This window comes from Homo sapiens, chromosome 4, assembly GCF_000001405.40.
Source record: "Homo sapiens chromosome 4, GRCh38.p14 Primary Assembly".
In the NCBI taxonomy this organism is placed as follows: domain Eukaryota; kingdom Metazoa; phylum Chordata; class Mammalia; order Primates; family Hominidae; genus Homo; species Homo sapiens.
In genome coordinates, this window is record NC_000004.12 from 39,947,905 (window position 1) to 39,965,101 (window position 17,197).

At 45.2% G+C, this 17,197-nt stretch overlaps 1 protein-coding gene across 5 annotated transcripts in view, besides 1 other annotated feature; it reads right to left on the reverse strand.

Moving 5' to 3' along the window:
* PDS5A (PDS5 cohesin associated factor A) overlaps positions 1-17,197 on the reverse strand; it is a 155,049-nt gene that overhangs the window by 125,042 nt on the left and 12,810 nt on the right. The gene's annotated exons all lie outside the window — the stretch shown is intronic.
* Positions 14,080-14,139: an enhancer, noted in NCBI's record as "active region_21470". NCBI's record gives its function as "activates an Ori minimal core promoter by ATAC-STARR-seq in GM12878 lymphoblastoid cells {active_cell/tissue: GM12878}" and the evidence as "EXISTENCE:reporter gene assay evidence [ECO:0000049][PMID:35858748]".

A 17,197-nucleotide genomic window follows, 5' to 3' on the forward strand; every position in this document is an offset into this window, starting at 1 on the left:
TAAGTTTTGGTGAGGACAAACCTTATCCAAATAATGGCAATGTCCACACAAAAATTTGCACATAAGCCAGGAATGGTGGCTCACTCCCATGATCTTAGCAATTTGGAAAGACAAGGAGGGAGGATGCCTTGAGACAAGGAATGCAAGACTAGCCTGGGCAACAACTGCAAGACCCCATTTCTACTAAAGATTTAAAAATTAGCTGGGTATGGTAGCACGTACCAGTAGTCTCAGCTACTTGAAAGACTGAGGCAGCAGGATTCCTTAAGCTCAGGAGGTAGGCAACACAGCAAGATATCCCGTCTCAAAAAAAAAAAAAAAAAAAGAAAGAAAGAAAAAGAAAAGAGAAATTTGCACAAGAATGTTTATAGCAGCATTATTCACAATAGCCAAAAGGTGAATCAAACCTTTTTTTTTTTTTTTTTTTTTTTGAGATGGAGTCTTGCTCTGTCACCCAGGCTGGAGTGCAATGGTGCGACCTCGGCTCACTGCATTACTGCAACCTCCGCCTCCCGGGTTCAAGCAATTCTCTGCCTCAGCCTCCCGAGTAGCTGGGTTTATAGGCGCCTACCACCAGGCCCTGCTAATTTTTGTATTTTTAGTAGAGATGGGGTTTTACCATCTTGGCCAGGCTGGTCTTGAACTGCTGACCTCATGATCCACCTGCCTCGGCCTCCCAAAGTGCTGGGATTACACGTGTGAGCTACCACGCCTGGATTTTTTTTTTTTTTTTTTTTAAAGACCGAGTCTCACTCTGCTGCCCAGGCTGGAGTGCAGTGGTGCCATCTCAGCTCACTGCAACCTCTGCCTCCTGGCTTCAAGCAATTTTCCTGCCTCAGCCTCCTGAGTAGCTGGGATTAAAGGCATGTGCCACCATGCCCGGATAATTTTTCTATTTTTAGTTGAGATGGCATTTCACCATGTTGGCCAGGCTGGTCTTGAATTCTTGACCTCAGATTATCTGCCCACCTTGGCCTCCCAAAGTTCTGGAATTAGAGGTGTGAGCCACTGAGCCCAGCCCAACCCCATTTATTATCAACTAACAAACGGATAAACAAAATTTGGTACACCTATACACTACAGTATTATCTGGCCATAAAAGGTATAATGAAAGCCAGGCATGGTGGCTCACACCTGTAATCACAGTACTTTGGGAGACCAAGGCCAGAGATCACCTGAGCACAGGATTTTGAGACTGGGCAACATAGTGAAACCCTGTCTCTACAAAAAACACCAAAAAAAAAAAAGATAGCCAGGTGTGGTGGCACATGTCCATAGTCCCAGCTACTCAGGAAGCTGAGGCAGGAGGATTGCTTGAATGCGGGAGGTCGAGGCTTCAGTGAACCCAGATGGAGCCACTACATTTTAGCGTGGATGAAAGAGCAAGAACCTATCTCAAAAAAAAAAAAAAAAAAAAGAACTGATGGTATGACTGGGCGAAATGTTATGCTAACTGAAATATGCCAGCCACAACAGACCACTTGCTTATGATTCCATTTATATGAAATGTCCAGATCGGGGAAATGTACATAGACAAAAAGTAGGTTAGTGATTCCTTAGGACTGTGGGGAGGAATATGAGGGTAATAGCTAATGGACACAGGGACTTCATTTTGAGATGATAACTGTTCTAAAACTGACTACGAGCTGGTCAAAGTGGCTCACACAATCCCAGCCCTTTGGGGTTCTGAGGCAGGTGGATGGATCATTTGAGCCCAGGAGTTCAAGACCGGACTGGGCAACAGGTGAAACCCCATCTCTAAAAAAAAAAGTTTCAACAATTAGCTTGGCATGGTGGCGCACACCCGGCTACGCAGGAGGCTGGGGTGGCACAATCACTGAACTTGCAGGGGCCAGGGCTGCAGTGCATTGCACCACTGCACTCCAGCCAGGGCGACAGAATAAGACTCTGTCTCAGAAAAAAAAAAAAAAGAAAAACACCACAAAAAACCTGACTGTGGCAATCACTGCAAGCATTTGTGATGATACTAAAAACAACCATACATTTTATTTTATTTTTGAGACAGAGTTTGCTCTTGTTGCCCAGGATGGAGTGTAATGGCATGATCTCGGCTCACCACAACCTCCACCTCCCGAGTTTAAGTGATTCTCCTGCCTCAGCCTCCAGAGTAGCTGGGATTACAGGCATGCGCCACCACGCTTGGCTTATTTTCTATGTTTTTAGTAGAGATGGGGTTTCTCCATGTTGGTCAGGCTGGTCTCAAACTCCCAAGTGATCCGCCCACCTCGGCCTCCCAAAGTGGCGGGATTACAGGTGTGAGCCACCGCACCCAGCCAATTGTACGTTTTAAATGGGTAAACTCTATGGTATGAGAATTATATCTCAACAAAGCTGTTTTTAAAAAAGAAAATTTAGGCCGGGCACGGTGGGTCTCACCTATAATCCCAGCTACTTAGAAGGCTGAGGCAGGAGAATCACTTGAACCCGGGAGGTGGAGATTGCAGTGAGCCGAGATCATGCCACTGTATACTTCAGCCTGGGTGACAGAGCAAGACTCTGTCTCAAAAAAACAAGTTAGAAATTATTAAGATGGCCAGGCACAGTGGCTCCCGCCTGTAATCTCAACACTTTGGAGGCCGAGGCAGGTGGATGAGGTCAGGAATTCAAGACCAGCCTGGGCAACATGGTGAAACCCCATCTCTACTAAAATAAATAAAATAGAATTTTGTTTGTTTTTGAGATGGAGTCTTGCTCTGTCGCCCAGACTGGAGTGCAGTGGCACCATCTCAGCTCACTGCAACCTCTACCAGGTCATGGGTTCAAAAGATTCTCCTGCCTCAGCCTCCCAAGTAGCTGGGACTACAGGTCTACGCTACCACACCAGGCTAACTTTTGTATTTTTAGTAGAGACAGGGTTTCGCCATGTTGGCCAGGCTGGTCTCCAACCCCTAACCTCAGGTAATCCACCAGCCTCGGCCTCTCAAAGTGCTGGTATTACTACAGGTGGGAGCCACTATGCCCACCCTGAATTTTTTTTTGGTTTTAATTTTTAAAATAGATAGGGTCTCCCCTCTGTGGACCAGGCTGGAATACAGTGGCACAATCATAGCTCACTGCAGCCTTGACCTCCTGGGCTCAAGCAATCCTCACATCATCCTCCCAAGTAGCTGGGACTACAGGAATGCATCACCATACTCAGCTTTTTTTTGTACAGCCAGGGCTTCACTATGTTGCCCAGGCTGGTCTCAAATTCCTGGGATCATGTGACCCTCATGCCTCAATCTCCCAAAGTGCTAGGATTACAGAAATAAACCACTCCATCTGGCCTCTGTTCTGCCTCTTAATGGATAGGTAATCTGAATTACTTAGTCTTTCTGTGACTACATAATGAGGACAGCAATATAATCTTGTAAGATTTGATATTTAGAGATGATAATTGCCAGATCTACTGTCTGGCATACATGGGGGCTGTGATAAATTAAATAACCATGTTTTATGAATTCTAAGGCTCAGATCTCTGAAATTGTGATGTGTCTCAAAATCAGCAGTTTTCCAATGAGAGACAGCCAGAAGCAATTGTAAGGAAACTACTGTTACTTGCACTTACACAAATTTCACTTTGAAAATCTTGTGCTGATAACAACTGATAACATCTAGAAAGCACAAGCATCAAATCTTGCAGCATTAAGTGTTAATGGCTCAGAAGAACATCTCAGCAACAACAGTTGGAGCACTCAAAAGAATTCTACATCACGCTGGGCAAGGTGGCTCACGCCTGTGATCCCAGCACTTTGGGAGGCCAAGGCGGGTGGATCACGAGGTCAGGAGATCTAGACCATCCTGGCTAACACGGTGAAACCCCTTCTCTACTAAAAATACAAAAAATTAGCCGGGCATGGTGGCAGGCGCCTGTAGTCCCAGCTACTCAGGAGGCTGAGGCAGGAGAATCGCCTGAACCCGGAAGGCAGAGGTTACAGTGAGCCAAGATCGCGCCACTGCACTCCAGCCTGGGTGACAGAGCAGAGTCTGTCTCAAAAAAAAAAAAAAAAAAAAAATCTGTATCACTAACACTACTGGTGATGACAACACTGTGTGGAAAAACACAAGCATCAATTACTAGTTTTAACAAAAAAGATCACAAGGGTCAAACTATGAATGTGAATGTAGGAATAACAACCAATTGTCCAGGCACGGTGGCTCATGCCTGTAATCCCAGAACTTTGGGAGGCAGAGGTGGGCGGATTACCTGAGTTCAGGAGTTCGAGACCAGCATGGCCAACATTGTGAAACCCTGTCTCTACTAAAAATACAAAAAAACAGCCGGGTATGGTGGCATGTGCCTGTAGTCCCAGCTACTCAGGAGGCCGAGGCAGGAGAACTGCTTGAACCCGGGAAGCGGAGGTTGCAGTGAGCTGATATCATGCCACTGCACTCCAGTATGGGCCACAGAGTGAGACTCCGTCTCAAAACAAAACAAAAACCAATTATTTCAATTTTATTTTCCTTTACATATGTAAGAAGGTGATGTGGAAAAAATTTGTCTAAATGAGTTAATTATAGGAGCTCTTTCAGCAAGTATAAAATTAAAATTTTGTAAGTGTTAAAAATCACCAGATCATAATTTGTTAATCTTTTTTTTTTCTAATGATGGGCTCATAGTCATCAAATTCCTTGGTCTTTCTATCCTATCACTCAGGACAGCCAGCTTAATAGTAAAGTGGAATAGCTTACTGTGATAATACCAGCTGAAAGATAACGCGCTGAGAAGATGAGGTGCTTACTTATTTTATAACATGTGATACATTACCTAAATCAGTGACCAATAAATTGTCACTTGTCCCACAGTACACAGATCTGGAATTTTTTTTTTTTTTTTTTTTGAGACTGAGTTTTGCTCTTGTCACCCATGCTGGAATGCAATGGCATGATCTCAGCTCACTGCAACCTCTGCCTCCCGGGTTCAAATGACTCTCCTGCCTCAGCCTCCGAAGTAGCTTGGATTACAAGTGCCCACCACCATGCTTGGCTAATTTTTGTATTTTTAGTAGAGTCAGGGTTTTGCCATGTTGGCTAGGCTGGTCTGGAACTCCTGACTTTAGGTTATCTGCCAGCCTTGGCCTCCCAAAGTGCTGGGATTACAGGCATGAGCCACCACGTCAGTCCAGATCTGGAAATTAAAAGATTGAATCAGAGTGCCCCCTCTCATTATCATACCTAATAACCTACTCAAAAAACATTTTTTCCTCCATCCTTAAAACGCTTGGTCAGCTGGTTTAGAGGTCTTGGTTTCTTGGTTTAGAGGTCTTGGAATACTTCTACCTTAGGACACAACAACCGCTCCACTACAGTGAAGCTGAGTTTGTCACTTGACCATTTTGAGCTCATGCCAACTGAAACAACAGTTAAAGAACAGTTTCACCGTGGCTGGGGTAACTGATCTCAACTATTGTGAGAAACCTAGGTTGTTGGTATGAAATAAGGGCAGGGGGAACTATTTCTGGAGCTCATCAGGTGATCCAGGGCAGTGTTTTTCAAACCATCAATGGTGAAGAATCAGTTTTTTTTTTTTTTTTCATTCCAACACACTGGGAGTGGTGGCTCACAACTGTAATCCCAGCACTTTGGGAGGCTAAGATGGGAGGATCGCTTGAGCCCAAAAGTTTAAGACCAGCCTGGAAAACATAGTGAGACCTTGTCTCTACTAAAAATTTAAATTGTAGCTGGGTGTAGTGACACATGCCTGTAGTGTCAACTACTCAGGAGGCTGGGGCAGGAGGATCGCTTGAGCTGGGAAGTCAAGCCTGCAGTGAGCCATGATCGTACCACTGCACTCCAGCCTAGGCCACAGAGCGAGAACCTGTCTCAAAAGAATAAGTAAAGTAAAATTCCAACACATTTGTAAAATATAAAACACTGAAATGCACTTAGACGTTCGTAATCAATAGCAAATGACCTATAAATGTTTCTGTTTACTCTCAATTTCTGCATTTGTCCTATTGTGAACTGACACCACACTCTCAATAGCCAAAGCACAATATGCAATATTAAAAGTTCATGGGAAACTTCAGTGTCCTAATGAAGTCAGAATGCCTTGGAATGAAGTTTTCATACAATCTACCAAGTTAAAAACAAAACAAAACCCAATAGGCCCCAACTGAGGTACTAAGTGAAGGAAAAAGAAACAATGGGATGAGGCAGGGCATGGTGGCCCACGCCTGTAATCTCAGCACTTTGGGAGGCCGAGGTGGGAGGACTGCTAGAGCCTAGGAGTTTGACAGCATCCTGGACAACATAGTGAGGCTCTATCTCTACGGAGAAAAAAAAACAAACAAACAGAAAAAGAAATTAGCTGGGCAGGGTGGCATGTGCCTGTAGTCCCAGTTACTTAGGAGGCTGAGGTGGGAGGATTGCTTGAGCCCAGGAGTTTGAGGCTGCAATGAGCCATGACGGTGCCACTGCACCTCAGCCTTGGTGACAGAGCGAGACCCTGTCTCTTAAAAAAACAAAACATGCCACGATCTCAGCTCACTGCAACCTCCACCTCCCAGGTTCAAGCGAGTCTCCTGCCTCGGCCTCCTGAGTAGCTGGGATTACGGGCATGTGCCACCACCCTCGGCTAATTTTTGTATTATTTTAGTAGAGGTGGGGTTTCACCATGATGGCCAGGCTGGTCTTGAACTCCTGACCTCAGGTGATCCACCCGCCTTGGCCTCTCAAAGTGCTGGGATTACAGGTGTTAGCCACCGTGCCCAGCCTGAAATACATTGTCAAGACATAAATAAGTACCCATTGTCAAGAGATAAGTAAAAAAAAAAAAAAAAAAAAAAAAAAACAGAAACAGAGGTGGACCAAACGCTAAAGCTATCAGACAGAGACGTTAAAATAACTATGAGGCCAGGCAGAGAGCCTCATGCCTGTTAATAGGCATGAACACTTTGGGAGGCTGAGGCAGGAGGATCACGTGAGTCCAGGAGTTTGAGACCTGGGCAACATGACAAACCCCGTGTCTACAAACAATACAAAAATTAGCTAGGCGTGGTAGCACATGCCTGTAGTCTCTACTACTTGGGAGGCTGAGATGGGAGGATGGCTTGAACCCAGGAGGTGGAGGCAGCAGTGAGCCATGATCATGAAACTGAACGCCAGCCAGCCTGGGTGACAGAGCGAGACCCTGTCACAAACAAAAAATATAAATAAATAAATAAAGCATGCTGATTATCATCAGGATTTAAAGTAAATCAGCACTTAGAGCTCACCCTGGCCAAACAAGAAAAGCCAAAATTAGGAATATTAAAGGACAATATGCTAAATCTAACTTAGAGTTTAAACCAAGAGCATTACATGAATAGAACATTTGGGATTTACCATGCTGAAAAATATACAAGGAAACAATACACGAATATGGACTTTGAGTGATAATGTTGTGATGTTGGTTTAGAAATATAGCACTCTAGGGCCGGGCGTGGTGGCTCAAACCTGTAATCCCAGCACTTTGGGAGGCTGAGGTGGGCAGATCACCTGAAATCAGGAGTTCGAGACCAGCCTGACCAACATGGTGAAACCCCGTCTCTACCAAAAATACAAAAAATTACCCAGGTGTCGTGGCGGATGCTTGTAATCCCAGCTTGGGAGGCTGAGGTGGGAGAACTGCTTGAACCCGGGGGAGCGGAGGTTGCAGTGAGCTGAGATCATGCTACTGTGCTCCAGCCCGGGTGACAGAGCGAGACTCTGTCATAAAAAAACAACAACAAAACAAACAAATGTACCACTCTGGAAGGTGACTGAGGGGAGGCATTACTGTGGGAGGCATGTGTGACTGGGGAGGGGAAGTCTTCCTGGGGGACGGGAGTGTTACTGAGGAGTGAGTCCAGGGGGTTTGTTGGGAATACTCTGTACATTCCAGCAATTTGGCTGTGAACCTAAAACTGCCCTAAAAAAAAAAGTCTGTTTAAAAATTTGAACAGTTAAGGCCGGTGTGGTGGTTCACACCTGTAATCACAGCACTTTGGGGGGCCAAGGCAGGTGGATTACCTGAGGTCAGGAGTTCGAGACCAGCCTGGCCAACATGGCGAAACCCCATCTCTACTAAAAATACAAAAATTAGCCAGACATGGTGGTGGCACACACCTGTAGTCCCAGCTGCTCGGGAGGCTGACGTGGGAGGATTGCTTGAACATGGGAGGCAGAGGTTGCAGTGAGCTGCGATCTCGCCACTGCACTCCAGCTTAAGAAACAGACTGAGACTGCCTCTCAAAAAAAAAAAAGAACAATTTTAAAAAACAGTATAAGAAAAACGTATAGAACAATTGAGATAGCAGCAGTGGATTACAGTATTAAACATTTGGCAGGGTGCGATGGCTCACACCTGTAATCCCAGCACTTTTGGGAGGCTATGGCAGGCAAATCACTTGAGATCAAGAGTTGGAGACTAGCCCGGCCAACATGCTGAAACCCTATGTTTACCAAAAAATACAAAAATTAGCCAGGTATGGTGGCTCATGCCTGTAGTCCCAGCTACTTGGGAGGCTGAGGTGGGAGGATCGCTTGAACCCAGGAGGCAGAAGTTGCAGTGAGCCAAGATTGCGCCACTGCACTCTAGCCTGGGTGACAGAGCGAGACTGTCTCAAAAAAAAAAAAAAAAAAAGTCTGATAAAATATCAAGGAAATATGAGAACTGAACACAGCAAACAAAGCTATACAACATTATTTCAAAAACATCTAAAGACAATTTTATTTTATTACTACCTGGTTTTTACCCTTTCTTCAAAGCTTTATAGGTATATGCTTCAAGAAGAAAGACAGATTTTCTTACTTTTTTTTTTTTGGAGACAGGTTCTCACTCTGTCACCCAGGCTGGAGTGCTGCGGCACAATTATGGTTCACTGTACACTTAATCTCCTTGGCTTAAACAATCCTCCTGCCTCAGCCTCCAGAGTGGGCAGGACTATAGGCGCCTGCACCACATCCAGCTAATTTTTGTATTTTTTGTAGAGAAGAGGTTTTGCCATGTTGCCCGCGCTAGTCTCAAACTCCTGGCCTCAAGTGATCTGCCTTGCCTCAGCCTCCCAAAGTGCTGGGATTACAGGCGTGAGCCACCTCACCCAGCCAAAAGACATTTTCTAAATAACTTCTGCCAGAAACAAAGTATTCTCTTTATCTACACTGACTCAATCTTCATGAATCTTAGGAAAAATTTTTATTCAATGATTTTCTTTTCACACACAAGGAATCCACCTCTACTTATTCTATAGTGGCTACGTGAGGGATATTCAATAAGCATTTGAAGTTATAGGATAATTATACATGGCCACAGAACTTAACCCAATTTTCAAGTATTAAACTTAACAAAATAAAATAATGGCATCAATTTACTATTAAGGTTTACTTAGGGCCAGCGTGGGGGCTCACACCACTGCACTCCAGCCTGGGGGACAAGGCGAGACTCCATCGCAAGAAAAAAAAGAAAAAGAAAAAGCATACACTAAGTGATTTTTTAAAATTCATATTATAATTAAGTACATAAAATGTTGCTAGCCACTCTTTAAATTTTACTCATCCACGGCTTTCACACCTATTGTCAGATGACTATAATCTCAGCAACAAACAAATTTACTCAGACAGCATCAATTAGAAATGGATTCCTGGGCCAGGCACAGTGGCCTGTAATCCTAGCACTTTGGGAGGCCAAAGAGGGCGGACCACGAGGTCAGGAGATGGAGACCATCCTGGCTAACACGGTGAAACCCCATCTCTACTAAAAGTACAAAAAAATTAGCCGGGCGTGGTGGCGGGCGCCTGTAGTCCCAGCTACTCGGGAGGCTGAGGCAGGAGAATGGCATGAACCCGGCTAGGCAGAGCTTGCAGTGAGCTGAGACTGTACCACTGCACTCCAGCCTGGGCGACAGTGTGAGACTCCATCTCAAAAAAAAAAAAAAAAAAAAGAAATGGATTCCTGTACAAACAAAGATGCTATGTGATCTGGACATGAGGCTAAAAAAAGACTCCACAGGCCGGGGGTGATGGCTCACGCCTGTAATCCCAGCACTTTGGGAGACTGAGGTGGGTGGATCACCTGAGGTCAGGAGTTCAAGACCAGCCTGACCAACACAGAGAAACCCTGGCTCAGCTAATCCTCCCAACTCAGCCTCCTGAGTAGCTGGGACTACAGGAGCACACCACCACACCTAGCTAATTTTTTGTATTTTTAGTAGAGACAGGGTTTCACCATGCTACCCAAGCTGGTAGCAAACTCCCGAGCTCAAGTGATCCGTCTGCCTTTGCCTCCCAAAGTGCTGAGATCATAGGCATGAGGCACCACGCCCAGCCAGGCATTAATTTTATAACAAAAACAACACATAAGGCCAGGCATGGTGGTTCACACCTGTAATCCCAGCACATTGGGAGGTCGAAGCAGGAGGATCTCCTGAGGTCAGGAGTTCAAGGTCAGCCTGGCCAACATGGTGAAACCCCGCCTCTACTAAAATTACAAAATTTAACCGGGCATGGTGGTGTGCGCCTGTAGTACCAGCTACTCAGGAGGCTGAGCCAGGAGAATCGCTTGAAATCAGAAGGTGGAGGTTGCAGTGAGCTGAGATCTTGCCACTGCACACCAGCCTGGGCCCAAGAGCGAAACTGTGTCTCAAAAAAAAAAAAAAAAAGGTACGGGTAGGGAATTACCTAAGCCTTACCTAACCCTAACTTGCCTCAGCACAAGCAAAATAGTAGTACTCATTTCTTGTCTTTTTTTTTTTCTTTTCTTTTTTCTTTGAGACAGAGTCTCACTCTATCACCTAGGCTGGAGTGCAGTGGCACAATCTCTGCTCACTGCAACCTCTGTCTCGTGAGTTCAAACTATTCTTGTGCCTCCTGAGTAGTTGGGATTACAGGCGCACATCACCACCCCTGACTAATTTTTGTATTTTTGGTAGAGATGGGGTTTCACCATGTTGGCCAGGTTGGTCTCAAGCTCCTGGCCTCAAGTGATCCACCTGCCTTGGCCTCCTAAAGTGCCGGTATTATAGGCATGAGCCACTGCGCCCTGCTGTACTTATTTATTTTCCTTAAACACACCAAACATGCTTCTGCCTTTCTGCCATTCATCTGCCTGGAATGTTTTACCATTCATTTGCCTACCCAAGTCTGAGACTTCAAATCCCAGCCCAACTGTCACCTTCTCTATGAATTTCTTGACAATCAAAATTCTTAGTGATCTTTTTATCTAAAGAAACAAATGCAATCCAACCACATAATTGGCACTCACATTGTAAATTACAATCATCTCAAAATATGATAATCTCACATGAAAATCCATTCTACTGTTATTCCCAGTGTCACTTTCCCTTACTGAACTAAATGCTGTTATTTAAGGGCTGGCTTTACCAACACAAATCACAATGCCACTACTTTAGTAGGAAGTGTTAAATGTTTATCTCTTTTTAAATTTTTTTATTTTATACCCTAGTTGCAAGCTAAAAATGTTTAATCTAAATTTTTTTGTTGTTGTTGGAGATAGGTATCTCACTGTCGTCTAGGCTGGAGCACAGTGGCACGATCATGACCACTGCAGCCTCTACCTCCCCAGGCTCAGGTGATCCTTCCAACTGGCCTCCTGAGTAGCTGGGACTACAGGTGCACACCACCACACCCAGCTAATTTTTTGTATTTTTAGTACCATGCTGCCAAAGCTGGTAGCAAACTCTCGAGCTCAAGTGATCTGTCTGCCTTGGCCTCCCAAAGTGCTGGGATCACAGGCGTGAGCCACCACACCCAGCAAGGCATTAATTTTATAACAGAAAAACAACACGTAAGGCCAGGCATGGTGGTTCACACCTGTAATCCCAATACATTGGGAGACCGAGGCAGGTGGATCTCCTGAGGTCAGGAGTTTGAGACCAGCCTGGCCAACAAGGTGAAAGCCCGTCTATAGTGAAAATACAAAAATTAGGCCAGGCGTGGTGGTTCACGCCTGTAAACCCAGCACTTTTGGAGGGCAAGGCAAGCAGATCATGAGGTCAGGAGTTCAAGACCAGGCTGGCCAACACAGTGAAACCCCGCCATCTCTACTAAAAATACAAAAATTAGGTGGGCATGGTGGTACGTAACCAGCAGTCCCACCAACTTGGGAGGCTGAGGCAGGAGAATCGCTTGAAACTGGGAGGTGGAGGTTGCAGTGAGCTGAGATCGCGCCACTGCACTCCAGCCTGGGCAACAGAGTGAGACTTCGTCTCAAAAAAACAAACAAGAAAACCACAAAAAGTAGCTGGGCGTGGTGGCACGCACCTGTAATCCCAACTACTCGGGAGGCTAAGACACAGAATCGCTTGAACCCAGGAGGCAAAGGTTGCAGTGAGCCGAAATTGTACCACTGCACTCCAGCCTGGGTGACGGAGTGAGACTCTGTCTCAAAAAACAAAAACAAAAACAACAAAAACAAAAAAACACATATATTATGGAAGTTACCAACTTTTAAAATATCACATAATACACAAAAACAATGATATGTGTATAAGTTCCAAAGGCTGAGGGATTCTGGGTCTAGGCACAATTGTAACTGTGTAGAAGCAAACTAGCTAGGAAGCTATGAATTAATGTCAAAGACCGAATGCCAACAGCAAGGGAAAGAAATTTAGAAAATTTCTTCATTATGCTTATGTTCAACTTTCTATTGCAACAGTTATCTTGAACATTTTTTTTTTTTAAGAGACAGGGTCTTCCTCTGTCACACAGGCTAGAGTGCAATGGTGCAATCCTAGCTCACTGCTCAGGTGATACTCCCACCTCAGCCTCCCAAGTAGCTGGGACTACAGGCACCTGCCACCATACAAAGCTAATTTTTTTTTTTTTTAACGGAGTCTCACTCTGTCGCCCAGGCTGGAGTGCAGTGGTGTGATCTCAGCTCACTGCAACCTCCACCTCCCGGGTTCAAGCTATTCTCCTGCCTCAGCCTTCTGAGTACCTGGGACTACAGGCACACGCCACCAAGTCCAGCTAATTTTTGTATTTTTAGTAGAGATAGGGTTTCACCATCATGGCCAGGATGGTCTTGATCTCTTGACTTCGTGATCCACTTGCCTCGGCCTCCCAAAGTGCTGGCAGTACAGGCGTGAGCCACCACACCCAGCCTAATTTTTTATTTTTTGTAGAGGTGGGGGTCTCACCGGCCTTGAACTCCTGGCCTCAAGCAATCCTCCACCTCGCTCTCCCAAAGTGCTGTGATTACAGGCATGAGCCACCACAACTAGCTAGAACTTTCTTGATCTGTTGTCTTCAGCAAATAAAAACTATCAGGATTTCATATATTGTAACGAACTGTAGAATTGATCCCTGAAAAGTATAATCTTGGATTTCATATATTGTAAAAACTCCACTCACTCCATTAATTTTATCTTTCTGCACCAGGGAATTCAAGAAATCTTTTCTTTCCTTTTATTTTTTATTTATTTATTTTTTTTGAGATGGAGTCTTGCTATGTCGCCCAGGCTGAAGGGTAGTGGCGCCATCTCGGCTCACTGTCTCAGCCTCCTCAGTAGCTGGGAGGCGCCCGCCACCATGCCCGCTAATTTTTTTTGTATTTTTGGTAGAGACGGGGTTTCGCCATGTTGGCCAGGCTGGTCTCGAACACCTGACCTCTGGTGGTCAGCCCACCTCGGCCTCCCAAGATGCTGAGATTACAAGTATGAGCCACCGTGCCTGGCCATCTTTCCTTTTTAATAGAGTCTGGGTCTCACTATTTTGCCCAAGCTGGTCTGGAACTACAGAGCTCAAGTGATCCTCTTGCCTTGGCCTTCCAAAGTGCTGGGATTACAGGCATGTGGCACCGCACCCAGCCATGTGGAAATATTTTAATGTGCCAATAACCTCAGCCAAACTGTTTAACAATTAACTGTGAAAATAAAAGCCAACAGAAATAAAATTCATTAATGTCCTTAAACCTGTTCTCTTACTGTGAGCATTATATAGATTTCTGATACAAGATATATAAATCATAGTATTGGCCTTCATACATGTCAATGTTACTTACTTCATATATGGTTTTTAATAAGCCTTAACCTAATTTCTATTTAATTCAAGATCTTCAATTAAGACCTAAGTGAGGCTTGAAGCTTTCAACATTATTTCTGTTATTAAAATTCTATCCCCATCCCTTCCTACCCGCATTTCTCCAAACTAAAAAGGTATCACTCAATTCTGAGTTTTTGTTTTTTTTTTTTGAGACGTAGTCTCGCTCTGTTGCCCAGGATGGAGTGCAGTGGCACAATCTCAGCTCACTGCAAGCTCCGCCTCCCGGGTTCACGGCATTCTCCTGCCTCCACCTGCCCAGCAGCTGGGACTACAGACACAGTCCGCCACGCTCGACTAATTTTTGTATTTTTAGTAGAGACGGGGTTTCACTGTGTTAGCCAGGATGGTCTTGATCTCCTGACCTTGTGATCCGCCCGCCTTGGCCTCCCAAAGTGCTGGGATTACAGGCGTAAGCCACCGCGCCCGGCCTCTTCCTGAGTTTTTAAGGAAATCTAGAGTTCTTACCCCACTGAACCTCAACATGACACTTATGTTTAATTATTCTCACACAGAACTACTCTTGTTGCCAGGAAGCAATAAGTTGGCTTCATTGGAAAACATTAATTAGCTTATTTGACTGCAAATTAAAAGTAGGCAGGTTGGGCGCAGTGGATCATGCCTGTAAACCTAGCACTTTGGGAGGCCGAGGCGAGCAGATCACAAGGTCAGGAGGTTGAGACCATCCTGGCCAACATGGTGAAACCCCGTCTCTACTAAAAATACAAAAATTAGCCAGGTGTGGTGACACAAGCCTGTAATCCCATCTAGTTGGGAGGCTGAGGCACGAGAATCGCTTGAACCCAGGAGGCGGAGGTTGCAGTGAACACACCACTGCACTCCAGCCTGGCAACAGAGCGAGACTCCGTCTGGCGAGGAAGAGGGGGAATTAACCAGAGGTCGTGGCACATGCCTGTAGTCCCAGCTACTTTGGAGGCTGAGGCAGGAGAATCACTTGAACCTGGGAAGTGGAGGTTGCAGTGAGCCAAGACTGCACCACTGTGCTACAGCCTGGGCGACAGAGCAAAACTCCACCTCAAAAAAACAAAAAATAATAAAAATGGTTAAGAGAGTAAATTTTATATGTTTACCACAATTAAAAAAAAAAAAATCAGGCCGACCTGGTGGCTCACGCCTGTAATTCCAGCACTCTGGGACACCAAGGCAGGTGGATCACTGGAAGTCAGGAGTTCAAAACCAGCCTGGACCAACATGGCGAAACCCCGTCTCTTTTAAAAATACAAAAATTAGGCCAGGCACAGTGGCTCACAGCTGTAATCCCAGCACTTTGGGAGGCCGAGGCAGTTGGATCACCTGAGGTCAAGAGTTCGAGACTAGCCTGGCTAACATGGTGATACTCCATCTGTATTAAAATAACAAAAAAATTTAGCCGGGCATGGTGGCAGGCACCTATAATACCAGCTACTCAGGGGGCTGAGGCAGGAGAATCGCCTGAACCTAGAAGGCGGAGGTTGCAGTAAGCCGAGATTGCACCACTGCACTTCAGCCTGGGCAAAAATAGCCAGACTCCATCTCAAAAAAAAAAATTAGCTGCACACAGTGGCCTGTAATCCTAGCCACTCTCAAAATAATAATAATAATAAAGCAAGGATTACATTTGCCAGTGGAAATAAACGGTTGACTGGGCACAGTGGCTCATGCCTATAATCCCAACACTTTGGGAGGTTGAGGTGGGTAGAATGCTTGAGCCCAGACTGGGAAACATGGCAAAACCCTGTCTCTTCAAAAACTATAAAAATTAGCCCAGCATGGTGGTGCATGCTTGTGGTCTCAGCTACTGGGGAGCCTGAGGTAGGAGGATCACCTGAGCCTATGGAGATCCAGGCTGCAGCAGTGAGCCGTGATCACACCACTGCACTCCAGCCTAGGTACCAGAGTGGGACTCAGTCTCAAAAAGCGGGGGTGGGGGAGAGGGAGCGTCAAGAAATAGATATATAAATTGATAAACAGAACACAAAGAAATTAGCTTTTTTTTCCCCCCCAGACCGACTCTCGCTCTGTCACCAGGCTGGAGTGCAGTGGAGCAATCTTGACTCACTGCAACCTCTGCCTCCCAAGTTCAAGTGATTCTCCTGCCTCAGCCTGAAATTAGCTATTTATAAAAATTGATTAACATACAGAATTCAAATTTAACTAACTAACAAACATGGTACTTCATATACTTTTCATGGGACAAAAAGAACCACAGAGAAATTCTGTAAAGGATACTGGTAAAGTAGCTCTGTATTTAGACTGTGTTTACAGTAGGGTAGTACAAATAACCTTATGGATGTTAGAGGAAATCCAGGTTTTGCCTGTAGAAGACAGAAATATGGAATGGAGGAAGCTTAGAAGTACTCTGTGCTAGAGGTTCAAATGGAGGTAACAGACTGAACTCATGGCTGACTGGCTGATTAAATTATGTAAATAAGGGGGATGTATTTCTCAGCCCTATATACTGAAAGGGCCTGAAGAAATTATATCATAATAGCAATGCAAGCCAGACTCAGAGGCTTATGCCTATAATCCCATCACTTTCGGAGGCTGAGGTGGGAGGATGGCTTGAGGCCAAAAGTTCAAGACCAGCCTGATCAACGTAGAGCGACCCCCAAAACTACAACAAATTTAAAAAGTACATGGTGGGGTTTTGCGCCTGTAGTCCCATCTACTCCAAAGGCCAAGACAAGAGGATCACTTGAACCCAGAAGGTGCAGTGAGCCGAGATTGTGCCAGTGCACTCCAGCCTGGGCTATAGAGCAAGACTCCATCTCAAAAAATAATAATAAAATATGCCCTGGTGTGGTGGCTCACACCTATAATCCCAGCACTTTGGGAGACCAGCCTGGCCAACATGGTGAAACACATAAAAATTAGGTGGGCATGGTGGCACATGCCTGTAATCCCAGCTACTTGGGAGGCTGAGGCAGGACAATCGCTTGAACTTGGGGGACAGAGGTTGCAGTGAGCCGAGGTCGTGCCACTGCACTCCAGCCTGGGTGACAGAAAGACTCTGTCTCAAAAAATAATAATAATAATAATAAAATAATAATTTAAAAGTACACATGGTTAGCATACTTTGACTTGTCACAAGAGCTCCTGTGGTAGACTAATCATGGCTACAAATTCTTTCCTGCTTCTATTGAGAGGTAAGGCTCATCTTTTTTCTCCCCTTGAGTAT